This window comes from Homo sapiens, chromosome 17, assembly GCF_000001405.40.
Source record: "Homo sapiens chromosome 17, GRCh38.p14 Primary Assembly".
Classification (NCBI taxonomy): Eukaryota; Metazoa; Chordata; class Mammalia; order Primates; family Hominidae; genus Homo; species Homo sapiens.
The window spans coordinates 3158685-3177288 of NC_000017.11; the positions used below are offsets into that span (position 1 = coordinate 3158685).

General features: G+C 43.8%; 1 long non-coding RNA gene across 1 annotated transcript in view; it reads right to left on the minus strand.

Annotated features, from left to right (window-relative positions):
* The window catches only part of LOC100288728 (uncharacterized), a 41967-nt gene extending 23716 nt beyond the window's left edge, over positions 1 to 18251 (minus strand). Inside the window, exons 1-3 of the long non-coding RNA NR_147912.1 lie at positions 18192 to 18251; positions 5009 to 5205; positions 1550 to 1604 (exon numbers count right to left, since the gene is read on the minus strand). This is a non-coding gene — a long non-coding RNA (uncharacterized LOC100288728). The remainder of the gene's footprint in view (positions 1 to 1549; positions 1605 to 5008; positions 5206 to 18191) is intronic.
* Between the last annotated feature and the right edge of the window lie 353 nt (positions 18252 to 18604).

Below are 18604 nucleotides of genomic sequence, written 5' to 3' on the forward strand. Positions count from 1 at the left end.
TGAACCTTTTAAAAGAAAAATCCTTCAAACTGACTCTCAAAGCAAAACCCAACTCTATTCTGTATATAAGAGAAATTGCTAAAATAAAGTAATTCAGAATGATTGAAAATGAAATGATAGGCAAAGACATAGGTTAATGTGACCAAAACAATGTGATCCTTATATCGAAAAAACAGAATTCAGGAGGACAAAACTAAACCTACAATCAAAATAAAAATCTATAATATTTATGAAGCTTAGTTTGGCTTAGTTCAACCATTGTGGAAGACAGTGTGGTGATTCCTCAAGGATCTAGAACCAGAAATACCATTTGACCCAGCAACCTCATTACTGGGTACATACACAAGGGATTATAAATCATTCTACTATAAAGACACATACACACGTATGTTTATTGCAGCACTATTCACAATAGCAGAGACTTGGAACCAACCCAAATGCCCATCAATGATAGACTGGATAAAGACAATGTGGCACATATACACCATGGAATACTATGCAGCCATAAAAAAAGGATGAGTTCATGTCCTTTGCAGGGACATGGATGAAGCTGGAAACCATCATTCTCAGCAAACTAACACAGGAACAGAAAACCAAACACCACATGTTCTCACTCATAAGTGGGAGCTGAACAGTGAGAACACAGGGACACAGGGAGGGGAACATCACACACTAGGGCCTGTTGAGGGGTGGGGGGCCAGGGGAGGGATAGCATTAAGAGAAATACCTAATGTAGATGATGGGTCGATGGGTGCAGCAAACCACCATGGCATGTGTATACCTATATAACAAACCTGCACATTCTGCACATGTATCCCAGAACTTAGAGTATAATAAATCTATAATATCTGGGTACTACATAAAACAGAAATTTTCTTTAAAAGATACACGAAGAAACAGAAACACATTAATAAAAAGAGAAGGTTTTGTCAGTCCAAGGCAGATCAAGTGATTAAAAAAGGAAGGATAGAAAATATCAAACAAGGCCAGGCGCGGTGGCTCACGCTTGTAATCCCAGTACTTTGGGAGGCTGAGGTGAGTGGAACACGAGGTCAGGAGATTGAGACCATCCTGGCTAACACAGTGAAACCCCACCTCTACTGAAAATACAAAAAATTAGCCCGGTGTGGTGGCAGGCGCCCGTAGTCCCAGCTACTCGGGAGGCTGAGGCAGGAGAGTGGCGTGAACCCGGGAGGCGGAGCTTGCATTTATTCTTAAGTTATTTCATAGATTTTGTCATTGTTGCTGCTGTGATTTTTTTTTTCAATTTCTATTTTTAGCCTGTGGTTACCAAAGCTGAGAAAAAATATATAGCCTGCACTCATATATATATATGTGTGTGTATATATAACGTATGTGTGTGTATATATACATATATGTATGTGTATATATATATCCCTTGTGTCTTATCTATCCATCCATCCATCCCGGCTTTTATGTGCAATAATTTCTACCCCCAGATACTTACAGGGTTCCTGTCATATAGTTTATACTCAGTTAATATTTGTTGAATGAGTGAATGTCATACTGTTAGTAAAGGAAACGTCACCTGTTCTTGCCTCTTGCCAGAGATCCGCTTTGAGGGTAAAGAGCTTTGAGTTCACCTAGAAAATGAGAAGGAATCAACTTGCTGTGGTCAAACACAAGAGCCCAAGAGTCCAAGTTTTTGAGTTTGAGAGAATTGGGCTTGAGTCTTGATTCTACCATTTAAAAGTTATATGAACTTTAAATAATTGTTAAATGATTATTTATTACTTTTAGAGATAGGGTCTTGCCCTGTCACCCAGGCTGGAGGGCAGTGGTGCAACCATAGCTCACTTTAGCCTCAAACATGTGCACTCAAGTGATTCTCCTGCCTCAACCTCTTGTATAGCTGGGACTATAGGCAAAGGCCACTGTGCCCAGCTTATGTGAACATTTTAAGTAATTTCTCTAAATGTCAACTTCCTCACCGGTAAATTGAGATAATAAATAGTTTCTTCCTTTTACTGTATTGTGAAGGTTAAATAAAACAGGTAAAGAACTTTGGAAAGTATCCTGGACAGTAAGGTCTCAATAAATACTGATTCGTACTCAACAGAGGTTGGTGAATATTTTTCTTTGAAATTTAAAAGTTCCAAGATACGTACATGTATAAGCCATTGTTCTTCAATAATTATTTGCAGAATTCTGAGAGCCATTTAGATTTCTAATTGCAAGTCTCTATTTTAGTACAAAGGGCTCTAATATTTTCCTTTGGAGTTTCTCAAATTTTTGCATTGGATTTTAGTTCTCTATTCCCTATAACTATCAGGCAGAAGGTGGGGTGATGCAGCCAGGAGCCAAGGATCCCCTGCGGCCACCTGAAGCTTGGAGAGACAGGGAAGGATCCTCCCCTGGAGCCCTGGAGGCAGTGTGGCCCTACTGACAGCTTGATTTAGGACTTCACACCTCCAGAACTGAGAGAGAGTGCATTTCTGTGGTTTTAGGCCACGAAGTTTGTGACAATTTGTTGCAACAGCAGTGGCAGTACACATACCAGGTAAAGTAACACAGGTTCCAGAGATTTGGATGTGGACATATTTGCGAAGCCATTATCTAGCCTACCAGTCTTTATTCATTTTTGTTTGTTTGTTTGTTTTTGTTTGAGACAAACAAAACTCCAGACTGCTCTCTCTCCCAGTCTGGAGTGCAGTGACGTGATCTTGGCTCACTGTAAGCTCTGCCTCCCGGGTTCACGCCATTCTCCTGCCTCAGCCTCCGGAGTAGTTGGGACTACAGGCGACTGCACCACACCTGGCTAATTTTTTGTATTTTTTTTTTTTTTTTTTTTTTAGTGGAGACGGGGTTTCACCGTGTTAGCCGGGATGGTCTCGATCTCCTGACCTCGTGATCCGCCCGCCTTGGCCTCCCAAAGTGCTGGGATTACAGGCGTGAGCCACCGCGCCCGGCCTTTTCTCGTTATTTTTATCTCTTGTTGCTTTCCTGTGAAACTTTTGAGGAATTCTTAAGTTTTTACTCTACAAAACAGATGATCACTTCTGGAGGGTTCATATTAATATTATCTGCACCCTACATAGGCTTTTTAAATTTACATTTTTATGTTGCAATATTTTAAAGTAAATTGTAATTATTGTGGCATTACACCCCTAAATATTCAGCCTACATCTCTTTAAAAAAAAAACACCTTCTTCCACTTGCCCCAAATAGCACTTTCACACCAACTCAATTAATGATGATTTCTTATTATTATTCATTACTGGGCCATATTCAAATCTTTCCAGTTTCCCTGAAACTATCCTTTTTGTCTGCTTTGTTAAAATAGGAATCCAGTCCAGAACCTTGCATTGTATCTAGGAGCCGTGACCCAAGAATGTCCTAAATTCCCTCTAGAGTCACTGGAGACAGACCTGGCTATCATCCTGTGTGAAAGGAGCACGCTGAGGCTTAAGAGGCTGAGTGAGTTACCCCAAAGTCACACCCCTGATAAGTAGCAGAATCTGGATCTGATCATTACTCTTTTGATTCCAAATGTTATGCCCTGGTGTGGTGTGCTTTGCAAAGAAGAGTGGCCATGCACAGCTTATATTTGGACCCAAATAGCTTTTCCTTCTGGCCAGCAGGCCCATTAATCAGATGCTGTATCCGCTCTCTTAGTCCTTCCTCCCAAAAAGTGCAAGTGTCAAGATTTTTTTTTTTTTTTTGAGACAGAGTCTCACTCTGTCGCCCACGCTGGAGTGCAGTGGCACGATCTTGGCTCACTACAACCTCCGTCTCCTGGGTTCAAGCAATTCCCTGCCTCCGCCTCCCTAGTAGCTAGGATTGCAGGCGCCCACCACCACACCTGGCTAATTTCTGTATTTTTTGTAGAGACCGGGTTTCATCATCTTGGCCAGGCTGGTCTTAAACTCCTGACCTCGTGATCCACCCGCCTCGGCCTCCCAAAGTGCTGCAAGTGTCGAGATTTCATTTGGTGACTCCATAAACTGCCTCGGGAATCTCTTGTCTTTGGGATGAAAAGACTTTTAGACTTTTACAGTCCTTCCTCCCCAAAAGTGCAAGTTTCAAGATTTCATTATATTTTTGTTATCAAATCATTAGGTCTTTATTCCCTACTTGACTTTGACTCTTGGAGATGGAGAACATGTCTTAGGTACTTTCATATTCTCTCAGCACCATTTCTCTGTTGAACAGAGGCTCTCCTGGGACTTGTGTCCCACCCCAGCTGGGAGGCTTACCTTCCAGCCTGTGTCCACGACAGCCACCATCACAATGACCTGTTGCCTCTTCTGTCCTCTACATCATCGGAAATACACATTAAAAAGCTGCTTGAGAACTCGGAGGCTGTCCCCCTGTGGCGCGATGAACACGGCCAGGTTCCCCTTCCTCTGTGGCAGCAGAACTTTGCTGTACCCCAACTGCAGCAGGATAGCAGATGGGAGATTTCTGTTCATTAACCCCACGACCTCTGGAATAATCCTAGGTTCTCCAGCCCTGGGCTACAGGGGACTTGTCCTATTTATTTATTTCCCAGGTAGGCTCTGTGTGAGTTCCCTGGGGTGTCCCTTGGGAAATGGGAGCTTTGTCATTTCCCATGCCCTCTGTATCCCCTCAGGAGCAGTTTCTTGGAATGGGGAAGGATGTGGTCCAACAGTACTGGGATTTCTTGCATGAGAAGTTATTATCTGCCTGTTTCTTGGGTGGAACTAAAGAGCTAACCAATCTATCAAAAAAAATCTCCTTTCATATTTGCAATGATACTCTTAAGTCGCAAAAGGCCTCTGCTAAAATTAAAATGTGTTGCCTGGAGGGAATCATCTCTCGAGACCATAGAGAAATTGTGAAGCCATGGCCATTCTCATTTCAGTGTGGGTTTTTTCTTGGAGTCTTTATGAGAAGCTCATTCTAAACTTGGTCAGGAAATGGGGAGATGCCAAGAGAAAGACACAGTGCTTCGTGAGCCTCCAGCAAGAAGTAGTTTGGGAACAAGGGGCAGCAGATGTTAGAAAACTGCGGGCTGTGGACATACCTCCAGCTCCACCTGCAGATCCCCAGTGAACATGAGCTCCAGGGTGCACAGCCATTGCCTTCCCCAGAGTGGGGATCCAGCACTGGTCCTCTGGGTGCAGCTGCTGCAATTGTGATTAGAGCTCAGATCCAGAACCATGTCCATCCCACCAGCATCTCTGTGGCCACAAACTTGATTGCTCTTCCTCCAGAAAAAGACTGGAAAAGAAAAGCTCAATTTTAGAATATACTTACAGTTGTCTTAGAATCACTAACCCGGCCGGGCACGGTGGCTCACGCCTGTAATCCCAGCACTCTGGGAGGCTGAGGCAGGCAGATCACAAGGTCAGGAGTTCAAGACCAGCCTGGCCAACATGGTGAAACCTCATCTCTTCTAAAAATACAAAAATTAGCCGGGCATGGTGGCGGGCGCCTGTAATCCCAGCTACTTGGGAGGCTGAGGCAGGAGAACTGCTTGAACCCGGGAGGTGGAAGAGATTGCAGTGAGCTGAGATCACGCCATTGCACTCCAGCCTGGGTAACAGAGCGAGACTCCTTTTAAAAAAAAAAGACCTAGATTAATTCTCCCTGCCCCCTTTCGGTGTGGTTATGTTGCTCATTTGAAAGACAGTGGGAGTGGGAGGGGAATGTGTTATAAAATCATAAAACATACCATATAGGCAGATAGATTGAGCTCTAGGTATAGATGTTGATACAGCTATACAAACAGATATGTATATAAAATCAAGTATAGAAGAAAACCAAAAAATAATACAACTAGAAACAAATAAATCTAACTGTATTTCAAATTAATAACAAACCACACTGAAGAAAAGGAAGGAGATCTAATCCAAGCAACTCTTGAACATAGCAATTTGACTATATATGTTCAGGATAAAGAAAACTAACTTTAAAAAATATATTCTCTTGTTATTTTCTTTTTACAGTAGTATGGAAATACTTTATGTATATTCTAAGATTTAGCAAATAAATAAATATAATATGGACAACATAATAAGAGCCAGGTTGCATAATGTTGAAGAAGGGAGTTACAAATACGGAAAGGGTTGGCCAGGCATGGTGGCTCACGCCTGTCATCCCAGCACTTTGGGAGGCTGAGGCGGTAGACCATTTGACGTCAGGAGTTCTAGACCAGCCTGACCAATACGGTGAAACCCCGTCTCTACTAAAAATACAAAAATTAGCCAGGCATGGTGGCAGGCATCTGTAATCCCAGCTACTTGGGAGGCTGAGGCAGGAGAATCACTTGAACCCGGGAGATGGAGGCTGCAGTGAGCCGAGATCGTGCCACTGTACTCCAGCCTGGGTGACAGAGTGAGACTCCATCTCAAAACAAACAAACAAATACAGAAAGGGGAAGGGCTAGAATGAACCCTGAGATGTTGCACTGGAATTGAAAGTATGGTTATAAGCGCATAGTTCTGGGGAGAGAGAGGAGATGGAGGTGTGTGTATTTGTGTATATGCGTATGTCTTGGCTCTGTCCATTGAAAGGACCTCGAAGCAATGACAACTCAATAGCAATGAGCACATCTATTAATTACCCAGACCTCAGCTTTGAAATAGCATTCTCTTCTAAGAGAAATAAAGACTTTTTGGAGAAACGTATAATTCCACTTCTGGACAGAGAAAATAAAAGATGAGTCTGGAACATTTGTTTTGCCAGAAAGGAGGAAAGTGTTCCAAAATTGCTGAAAGCATGCCAAAAGACACAGAAGCCAACTCGAAGGGTTCCCAGTGACAAAGTGGGAAAATCAAGCAACAATATAAAGATAGGAATGAATTATAACTCATAGATAAAATCAAAATAAGTTTATCATACTGCTGCAAATGGATTAATAAATGAATGAATAAATGAACAAACAGATGAATAAACAAATAATAAAAAAAATCTTCCTTGGATATAATTTCAACTAATGTATAAGGCATGATTGAATCAGAAAAAAAATCATATTTAGCAGACACAATAACAGTTGTCCCAGGATATTTATTCATTACAAAGAAAAAATTGTATCTCTTCAGTAGACAGACTAGTATATATCACCTTTCACAAGTGGTCAACAACAGCATCACCAATATTGGGATAAATTATGTGCCTTCTCATAGACCGCACGCAGAAGGACATAGCATTTCTGTCATGCTCCTGCCCACAGCTTCATAGCCTGAATCTACGCATGAGAAAATATCAGACAAAATTCAAACTAGGCATTGATGCAGTGATGTCAGCAAAATGGCAACCAGGAAGTCCCAAACATTTAACAACTTCTCAGGGACAAAAATAGCTCTGGGAGAGTGCCACAGTACATTTAAGAAGGTTCAGCAGCACAGTGTAGCACAGAAACAGAGTGGCTGCAGCATAGAAAAACACAGGCATACCTGGTGAGGATGGTGAAACCTTGTCTCCACTAAAAACACAAAAAGTAGCCGGGAGCGGTGGCAGGCGCCTATAATCCCAGCTGTTAGGGATGCTGAGGCAGGAGAATAGTTTGAACCCTGGAGGCAGAGGTTGCAGTGAGCTGAGATCACACCACTGCTCTCCAGCCTGGGTGACAGAGCAAGACTCCATCTCAAACAAAACAAAAACCAAAACACAAAAACAGAATGGCGAATCCTTTCCAGAAGGTTTTCAGTTTACTTTGCCCAGGTACATCAGTGGAATCACTGTCTATGGCAGCCACAGCCTTACAAAACGTGTTTCTTATATAATAGACTTGAAAATAGACATGACTTGGCCAGGTGCGGTGGTTTGTGCCTGTAATCCCAGCACTTTGGGAGGCCGAGGCAGGCAGATCACCTGAGGTCGGGAGTTCGAGACCAGCCTGACCAACTTGGAGAGACCCCCATCTCCACTGAAAATGCAAAGTTAGCCGGGTGTGGTGTTGCATGCCTGTGGTCCCAGCTACTAGGGAGGCTGAGGCAGAAGAATCACTTGACCCCAGGAGGCGGAGGTTGTGGTGAGCTGAGATCACACCATTGCACTCCAGCCTGGGCAACAAGAGTGAAACTCTTGCTTCAAAGGGGGTACAATTGCTTGGGTTCTGCCCCGCTCTGTCAGGTGGAGTCAGCATTGGCAAAGACTGTGGAGGTCCTCAGTGGGGAAAGGTGTCCAAAGTGGAGAGAGCTCCTGAGACTTAAAAAAAAAAAAAAAAGGAGACATGACTCCCCGATCTACGAGCTGCAGAATGGACGTTGTGTTTGAAAACAACATTAATCTCCTTGTGTGTCTCCATCAGAGTCCTTGAGTGAACAGGTGCATTGTCAATGAGCAGTGATATTTTGAAAGGAATCTTTTTTTTCTGAGCAGCAGGTCTCAACAGTGGCTTACAATATTCGGTAAACCATGCTGTAAACAGATGTGCAGTCATCCAGAATTTTGTTATTCCACTGATAGAGCACAGGCAGAATACATTTAGTATAATCGTTAAGGGCTGTAGGATTTTTGAAATGGTAAAAGAGCATTAGCTTTAACTTCAAGTAACCAGCTGCATTCGATCCTAACAAGAGTCAGTCTGTTCTTTGAACCTGTGAAGCCAGGTCTTGATTTCTCCTCTCTCGCTCAAAAAGTTCTAGATGGCATCTTCTCACACTTGTGTTACGGAGATGGTCCCTTCCTTTTCCCTCCTCTCTCTCTCTCTTTCCCTTCCTTCCTCTATTTCTCTCTTTCTCTTTCTGATGGAGTCTTGCTCTGTCACCCAGGCTGGAGTGCAGTGGCACAATCTCGGCTCACTGCAGCCTCTGCCTCCCAGGTTCAAGCGATTCTCATGTCTCAGCCTCCCAAGTAGCTGGGACTACAGGCATCCGCCACCACACCCAGCTAATTTCTGTATTTTTAGTAGAGACAGGGTTTCACCATATCGGAGATGGCTTATTTTCTTAAACCTTATGAATCAACCTCTGCTAGCTTCCAACTTTTCTTGTGTAGCTTCCTCCCCTCTCTCAGTTTTCATAGAATTGAAGAGAGTCAGGGTATTGCTCTGGATTAGGCTTTGGCTAAAGGGAATGTTTTGGCTGGTTTGATCTTATCCAGACCACTCAACCCCTCTCCACGTCAGTAATAAGACGGTTTCACTTCCTTATCTTTCATAAGTTCACTGGGGTAGCACTTTCACTTTCTTCAAGAACCTTTTCTTTGCATTCACAACTTGGCTGTTTGACGCAAGGCTTAGCTTCCAGTCTATCCCTGCTTTAGACACGCCTTCCTCACTAAGCTTAATAATCTCTCGATTTTGGTTTAAAGTGAGAAAGGTGGGTACAGTGGTGCACACCTGTAATCCCAGCTATTTGTGAGGCTGAGGCAAGAGGGTTTCTCAAGCTCAAGAGTTTGAGACCAGCCTGGGCAATATAGTGAGACCCTGTCTCAAAAATAATAATAAAATAAAGTGAAAGGCATGCAACTCTTCCTTCACTTCAACACTTAAAGGCCATTGTAGGGTTATTGACTGACCTAATTTCAATATTGTTGTGTCTCAGGGAATAGAGAGACCCAAGGAGAGGGACAGAGGCAATGGAATTGCTGGTTGGTGGGGCAGTCAGAACACATACAACATTTATCAGTTAAGTTCACCATCTTACATGGGTGCAGTTCGTGGAGCCAAAAACCAATTACAAGGGTAACATCTAAGGTAAATGATCATAAATCACCATAACAGATATAATAACAAAAAAGTTTTAAATATTGAGAGAATTAATTTGACACAGAGACCTGAAGTGAGCACATGTTGTTGGAAAAATGGCACCAATAGACTTGCTCAAGGCAGGGTTGCCATAAACCTTCAATTTGTAAATTTGAAATATCTTCATACAATAAAATGAGGCATACCTGTATATGAACATTTTTCTGGCATTATTCCATCCCCCAGGCTGGAAAAGCAGGTGCCAAGAGGGATCCTGCCAGCAGCAACTTCCCCTCATGAGGGGAAAAGAAGAGTAGGAGATCCTTCAGGACCTCTCTCCACTTTGGACACCTTTCCCCACTGAGGACCTCCACAGTCTTTGCCAATGCTGACTCCACCTGACACAGCCGGGCAGAGCCCAAGCAATTGCACCCCCATCTCTGGAGACAAAGCAGGAACCGCTGCTACATGCCAATATCCCTGATGAACATAGATACAAAATCCCTGAAGAAATACTAGCAAACCCAATTTAATGGCCCATACACCACAATCCAGTGGGATGTATCCCTAGGGTACAAGAATGATTGACAGATGCAAATCAATCAATGTGATACACCACATTAAGAGAACAAAATAAAAATGTGTTAACAGAATGAATTTTAAAATGAAAGAAATAAATGATCACAGAGACACAAGTGTCTCAACAGAAGTAGAAAAAAACATTTAACAAAATTGAACATTCTTTCTTGATAAAAACTCTCAACAAAATAGCTATAGAGGATGCAGAGGAAGATGGCTCAATAGAAACCTACACTGATCATCCTCCTTGTAAGAACACCAAATTTACAACTATCTACACACAAAAACCACCTTCATGAGATCCAAAATCAGGCAAGCAATCACAGCACCTGTTTTGAACTTCGTATTGCTGAAAGAGGCACTGAAAAGTGTAGGAAAGACAGTCTGGAATTACAGACGTCGCCCTTCTCCCATCCCCCAGCAGTGGCTACATGGTGCAGAGAGAGACTGAGTGCTTGGGGGAGAGAGAATGCAGTGAGTGTGGGACTTTGTATTGAAAGTCAGTGCTGCCAACCGTGGGTAAAACTCAGCTAATGTCCATGAAGGGCGCATTTAGACAAACTCTAGCCAGAGGAAAATTGCCCATCCCAGCAGCTGGGTCAGAACCCAAGTTTCAGCAAGGCTCACCACCACAGGCTAAAGTACTCTGGGGTCCTGCAAAAACTTGAAATGCAGTCTAGGCCACAAGGACTGAAACTGCTAGGTGAGTCCTGGTGCTGTGCTGGGCTCAGAGATAGTGGACTTGGAGGGGAGGGCACGTGACCTAGTGAGACACCAGATGGGGCAGCTAAAGGAGTGCTTGTGCCACCCCTCACCAACCCGAGGCAGCATAGCTTGCAGCTTTGAAAGAGGCCCTTCTGCTTGAGAGTGAATAAGAGGACTTTGTCTTGCAACTTGGATACCAGCTCAGCCACAGTGCCCAGGGCACTGGGCAGTTGCAAGGCCCCCATTTCAGGCCCAAATTCCCAGACATTTCTGGACACACCCTGGGCCAGAAGGGAACCTGCTGCCTTGAAGGGAAGAACTCAGTCCTGGCAAGATTTATCACCTGCTGACTAAAGAGCCCTTGGGCCCCAAATAATCAGCAGCAGTAACCAAGTAGTACACACCATCAGCCTTGGGTGAGACTCAGATATTCTGGCTTCAGGTTAGACCCAGTACACTCACAGCTGTACTGTCTATGAAAAGAGATGCCTTCTGGTTAAGAAAAGCAGAGGGAAGCACAAAGGGGACTTTGTCTTGCAGCTTAGGTACCAGCTCAGCCACAGTCGGGTAGAGCACCAAGCAGGCTGTTGGAGTCCTTGATTCCAGTTCTTGGCTCTTGGATGGCATTTCTGGGCATACCCTGGACCCAAAGGGAGCCTTTTGCCCTGAAGGGTGAGTCCCAGGCCTGGCAGCATTCACCATGAGGCTGATTGAAGAGCCCTGGGGCCTTAAGCGAACACCGGCAGTAGCCTGCTGACATAGTTTGGATATTTATCCCTGCCCAAATCTCATGTTGAATTGTAATCTCCAGTGTTGGAGATAGGGCCTGGTGGGAGGTGCTTGGGTCAGGAAGGCAGATTCCTTACGGTTTGGTGCACGCCTCGTGATCATGAGCGAGTTCTTGAGAGATCTAGTTGTTTACGTGTGTAGCACCTCCCATAACAACTGTCTTTCTCTCCCACTTTTGCCATGTGAAGTGTCTGCACCCTTCTGCCAGAGGAAAAGTTCCCTGAGGCCTTCCCGGAAGCAGATGCTGATGTACAGCCTGCAGAACTGTAAGCCTATTAAACCTCTTTTCTTATAAATTACCCAGTCTTGGATATTTCTTTATAGCAATGCAAGAGCAGCCTAACATGGAAAATTGGTATTGAGAAGAGGGGAATTTCTATAAAGATACCTGAAAATGGCTACATCTGAAAATGTGGAAGTGACTTTAGAACTGGGTAATGGGCAGAGGATGGAAGAGTTTGAAGGGCTCAGAAGAAGACAGAAAAATGTGGAAAAGTTTCGAACTTCTTAAAGACTGGCTAAATCGTTGTAACCAAAATACTGATGGTAATATGGACAGTGAAGTCCAGGCTGATGAGGATTCAGATGTAAATGAGGAACTTACTAGAAACTGGAGCAAAGGTCACCCAGTTTATGCCTTAGCAAAGAGCTGGGGTGCATTGTGTTCATGCTCTAGGGATCTGTGGAAGGTCGAACTTGAGAATGATGACTTAAGATATTTGGCAGAAGAAATTTCTAAGCAGCAAAACATTGAAGAAATTGCCTGGCAGCTTCTAACAGCCCACACTCAGATGCAGGAGCAAAGAAATAACTTAAGGTTGGAATTTATATTTAAACAGGAAGCAGAATGTAAAAGTTTGAAAAATGTGGAGCCTGGCTATGTGGCAAAGAAAGAAAGAACTTTTTATGGAGAGGAATTCAAGCAGGCTGTAGAGCAACCACTTGCTAGAGATACTTGCATAACTAAAGGGAAGGCAAGTGCTACTATCCAAGACAATGTGAAAAAGTCCTTGAAAGCATTTCAGAGACCTTCATGGCAGCCCCTCCCATCATGGATCCAGAGGCCTAGGAGGGAAGAATGGTTTCTTGGGCCAGGCTCAGGGTTCTGCTGCCCTGTGTAGCCTTGGGACACTGTTCCCATATCCCAGCCACTCCAGCTCCAGCTGTGATTCAAAGGAGCCCAGGTACAGCTCATGCTGCCACTTTGGAGAATGTAAGCCATAAGTCTTAGTGGCTTCCATGTGGTGTTAAGCTTGCAGGGGCACAGCAAGAGTGAAGGAGGCTTGGCAGCCTTCACCTAGATGCCAGAGGATGTATGGGAAAGCCTGACATCCAGGCAGAAGTCTGCTGCAGAGGCAGAGCCCTCACAGGGCAGTAAGGAGAGGAAATGGGGGATTGGAGGACCCATACAAAGTGTGCCCACTGGGGCACAGCTTAATGGAGCTGTGGAAAAAGGGCCACCACCCTGCAGACCCTAGAATGGTAGATCCACTGGCAGCTTGCACCCTATACCTGGAAAAGCCACAGGTACTCAACTCCAGGCCATGAGAGAAGCCACAGGGGCTGAACCCTGGAAAGCCACAGTGGTAGAGCTGCCCAAAGCCTTGGGAGGCCATTCCTCATATCAGTGTGCCCAGGATGTAGGACACGGAGTCAAAGATTATTTTGGAGCTTTGAGATTTAATGACTGCCCTGCTGGGTTTCAAGCTTGAGTGGAACCTACAGCTCCTTTCTTTTGGCCAATTTCTCCCTTTTGCAATGAGAATGTTTAACCAATGCCTATAGCCCCATTGTATCTTGGAAGTCCATAACTTGTTTTTGATTTTATAAACTCAGGTGGAAGGGATTTGCCTTGTCTTGGATGAGAAATTGAACTTTTGGAACAAGTTAAGACTTTGGGGGACTGTTGAGAAAGCATGATTGTGTTTTGCAATGTGAGAAGTACATGAGATTTGTGGGGGACCAGAAATGGTATTATATAGTTTGGATATTTGTCCTTGCCCAAATCTCATGTTGAATTATAATTTCCAGTGTTGCAGATGGGGCCTGATGGGAGGTGTTTGGGTCATGGGTGGAGATTCTCCATAGCTTGGTGCTTTCTTGTGATAATAAGTGAGTTCTTGCAAAATATGATTAAGTGTGAAGCACGCCCCTTCCCCACCTCTCTCTCTATTGCTCCCATTCTCACCATGTAAAGTGCCTCAAACTTCCACCATGAGTAAAAGCTATCTGAGGCCTCCCCAGAGGCAGATGCCAGTGTTATGCTTCCTGTATAGGCTGCAGAACCATGAGCCAATTAAACCTCTTTTCTTTTAAATTATCCAATCTCAGGTATTTGTTTATAGAAATGCAAGAACAGCCTAATACACCTGTCAGTATTTCTTATGGGCCTGTGGTGGTGGTGGACATGGGGAGAGACTCCTCTGTCTGAGGAAAGGTGGGGGAAGAGTGGGAAGGCCTTTTTCTTGTGGTTTGGGTGTCATCTTCAGATGCAGTAAATTGAGCACCAGGTAGATTTCTAAGGCTTCCAACTATAGGCCCTGGCTCCCAGATGGCATCTCTGGACTCACCCAGGGCCTGGGTGACTTGGCAGTCCAAAGTGAAGAAGACAAGCCTGGTTGTCTTTACCACCTGCTGACTGTAGAGCCCTAGGGCCTTGAGCAAACACAAGTGGTAGCCAAGGAGTGGTAACAGTGGGTCTTGGATGATACCCAGTGCTGTGCTGTCTTCAGGTCTGACCCAGCACAGCCCTAGTGGTGGTGGCCACAGGAGTACTTGTGTTACCCCTCCCCCAGGAAGCTCAGGAAGCTTCCAGGAAGCTCAGCACAGAGAAGGGGAGAGAGAGATTCCATTTGTTTTGGAAAAAGTAAGGGAAGAGATCAAAAGTTTCTGCCTGGTACTCCAGATAATCCTTCTGGACCTTATCCAAGACCACCAAGGAGGTAGGTACCTCTACAAGTTGGCAAAAACCACAGCATTACTGAGCTTGAGGTGCACCCTAATGCAGATATGGCTGCAGTGACAAAAAAAAATGTAGATCACAACACCCAAGTCCCTTCAAATACCTAGAAAGCATTTCCAAGAGGACAGGTACAAACAAGTCCAGACTGGCAAGACTACAATAAATATCTAACCCTTCAATCCTCAGCCACTGAAAAACTTCCACAAGCATCAAGACAATCCAGGAAAACACGGCCTCACCAAATGAACTACATAAGGTAAGAGGAACCACTCCTGGAGAAACAGAGATATGTGAACTTTCAGAGAGAGAATTCAAAATAGTTGTTTTGAGGAAACTCAAAGAAATTCAAGATAACACTGAGAAGGAACTCAGAATACTATCAGATAAATTTAACAAAGAAATTCAAATGGATAAAAAGAATCAAGTAGCAATTCTGAAGCTGAAAAATGCAATTGACCTGCAAAAGAATACAGCAGAGTCTCTTAATAGAAAAAATGATCAAGCAGGAGAAAGAAATAGTAAGCTGGAAGACAGGGTATTTGAAAATACACAAAGGAGGCAAAAAAAAAAAAAGAATAAAAAAGAATGAAGCATACCCACAGGATCTAGAAAATAGTCTCAAAAAGGCAAATCTAAGAGTGATTGGCCTTAAAGAGGAGGTAAAGAGATAATGATAGAAAGTTTATTCAAAGGGATAATAGCAGAGAATATCCTAAACCTAGAGAAAGATATCAATATACAAGAAGGTTGTAGAAAAGCAAGCAGATTTAACCCAAAAAAGACTACCTCAAGTTATTTAATAATCAAACTTCCAAAGATCAAAGATAAAGAAAGGATCCCAAAAGGAGCAAGAGAAAAGAAAAAAATAACATACAATGAAGCTCCAATATATCTGGCTGCAGACTTTTCAGTGGAGAAAAGGGTAGGAGAGAGTAGCATGATATATTTAAAGCACTGAAGGAAAAAACAAAGTTTACCCTAGAAGAGTGTATCTGGTGGAAATATCCTTCAAATACTAAGGAGAAGTAAAAACCTTCCCAGAGAAACAGCTTGCTGAGGGATTTCATTAACACTAGACCTGTTCTACAAGAAATCCTAAAGGATGGTCTCCGATCTGAAAGACAAAGATGTTAACGAGCAATAAGAAATCAGCTGAAGGCACAAAACTCAGTGCTAATGGTAAGTACATAGAATATTAATTGTGGTGTGTAAATTCTTCTGATCTTAATTAGAAAGACTTAAAGAAGAACCAATCAAAAATAATTACCAAAACAACTTTTTAAGACACAGATAGTACAATAAGATATAAATAGAAACATCAAAAAATTAGAGAGGTGGAGGGATGAAGTTAAAGTGTAAAGTTTTTATTCATTTTCTTTTTGCTTGTTTGTTTATGCAATCATGTTAAGTTGCCATCAGTTTAAAATAATAGGTTATAACACATTATTTGCAAACCTCATGATAACCTCAAATCCAAAAACATACAATGGATACACAAAAAAATAAAAAGCAAGAAATTAAAACATACTATCAGAGGAAATCACCTTCACTAAAATAAAAAAAAGGAAGGAGGGCCAGGCGCAGTGGCTCATGCCTGTAATCCCAGCACTTTGGGAGGCCGAGGTGGGTGGATCACGAGGTCAGGAGATCGAGACCATCCTGGCCAACATGGTGAAACTCCATCTCTACTAAAAATACAAAAATTAGCCAGGCATGGTGGCGGGCACCTGTAATCCCAGCTACTTGGGAGGCTGAGGCAGGAGAATCACTTGAACCTGGGAAACAGAGATTGCAGTGAGCCGAGATCGTGCCACTGCACTCTAGCCTGGCGACAGAGCAAGACTCCATCTCAAAAAAAAAAAAAAAAAAAAAAAAGGAAAAGATAGGAAGGAAAGTAAGACCACACAACAACTATAAAACAAATAATAAAATGGCAGTGGTAAGTCCTTACTCATCAATAATAACACTGAATGTAAATGGACTAAACTATCCAATCAAAAACATAGAGTGGCTGACTGAAAAAAAGCAGGACCCAGTGATCTGTTGCCTACAAGAAACACGCTTCATCTATAAAGGTACACAGAGACTGAAAATAAAGGGGTGGAAAAAGAGTAGGAGTGGGTATATTTATATTAGACGAAATAAATTTCAAGCAAAAACTATAAAAAGAGACAAAGAAGGTCATTATATAATGATAAAGGGATCAATTCAGCAAAAGGATATAACAATTTTAAATATGTATGCACCCAACATTGGAGCACCTAGATATATAAAGCAACATTATTAGAGCTAAAGAGAGAGATAAACCCCAATGCAATAATACTGGAGACTTCAACAGCCCACTAGCATTGGACAGATCTTCCAGAAAGAAAGTCAACAAAGAAACTTCAGACTTAATCTGCACTATAGACCTACATGGATCTAATTGATATTTATAGAACATTTGCTCCAATGGCTGCTGAATTCACATTCCTCTCCTTAGCACATGAATCATTCTCAAGGATAAACCATATGTTAGGTCACAAAACAAGTCTTAACACATTCAAAAAAACTCAAATAATATCAAGTATCTTCTCTGACCACAATGGAATAAAACTAGAAATCAATAATGAGAGAAATTTTTGGAAAATATACAAATATATGGAAATTAATATGCTCCTGAATGTCCAGTGAGCCCCAACTGGTTAGTACTAAAAAATGCCCAGGCTACAGCATCACAAGGTAAAATGGGAACCCAATCCAAAGTGGGGTGGGTCGCTTTACTGTGGGGGGCTCCCTATCACTGAAAGCCCTAAACAGGCAAAACAGCCTCTACCAGCACTTTGGGAGGCTGAGGTGGACAGACACCTGAGGTCAGGAGTTGGAGACCAGCCTGGCCAACATAGTGAAACCCCACCTCTACTAAAAAATACAAAAATTAGCCAAGCATGATGGCGGGTGCCTGTAGTCCCAGCTACATGGGAGGCTGAGGCAGGAGAATCCCTTGAACCTGGGAGGCGGAGGCTGCAGTGAGCCGAGATGGCACCACTGCATTCCTGCCTGGGCAACAAGAGTGAGACTCCATCTCAAAACACAACAAAACAAAAAAAAACAAGAAAAATGAACTCGATTGCCTTCCACAGCACCCCTAATTCCAATGCGCATCCTTCTAGCAAAGGGGAGAAGAAGAGGAGTCAGAAGTAAGGGAAAACAGGGGGAGGAGCCAACAAGGCCGAATAGGAACAGCTCCGGTCTACAGCTCCCAGCGTGAGCGACGCAGAAGACGGGTGATTTCTGCATTTCCATCTGAGGTACCGGGTTCATCTCACTAGGGAGTGCCAGACAGTGGGCGCAGGCCAGTGGGTGCGCGCACCGTGCGCAAGCCGAAGCAGGGCGAGGCATTGCCTCACCTGGTAAGCGCAAGGGGTCAGGGAGTTCCCTTTCCGAGTCAAAGAAAGGGGTGACGGACGCACCTGGAAAATCGGGTCACTCCCACCTGAATATTGCGCTTTTCAGACCAGCTTAAAAACCGGCGCACCACGAGACTATATCCCACACCTGGCTCGGAGGGTCCTACGCCCACGGAGTCTCGCTGATGGCTAGCACAGCAGTCTGAGATCAAACTGCAAGGCGGCTGCGAGGCTGGGGGAGGGGCGCCCACCATTGCCCAGGCTTGCTTAGGTAAACAAAGCAGCCGGGAAGCTCCAACTGGGTGGAGCCCACCACAGCTCAAGGAGGCCTGCCTGCAACTGTAGGCTCCACCTCTGGGGGCAGGGCACAGACAAACAAAGAGACAGCAGTAACCTCTGCAGACTTAAATGTCCCTGTCTGACAGCTTTGAAGAGAGCAGTGGTTCTCCCAGCACGCAGCTGGAGATCTGAGAACCGGCAGACTGCCTCCTCAAGTGGGTCCCTGACCCCTGACCCCCGAGCAGCCTAACTGGGAGGCACCCCCCAGCAGGGGCACACTGA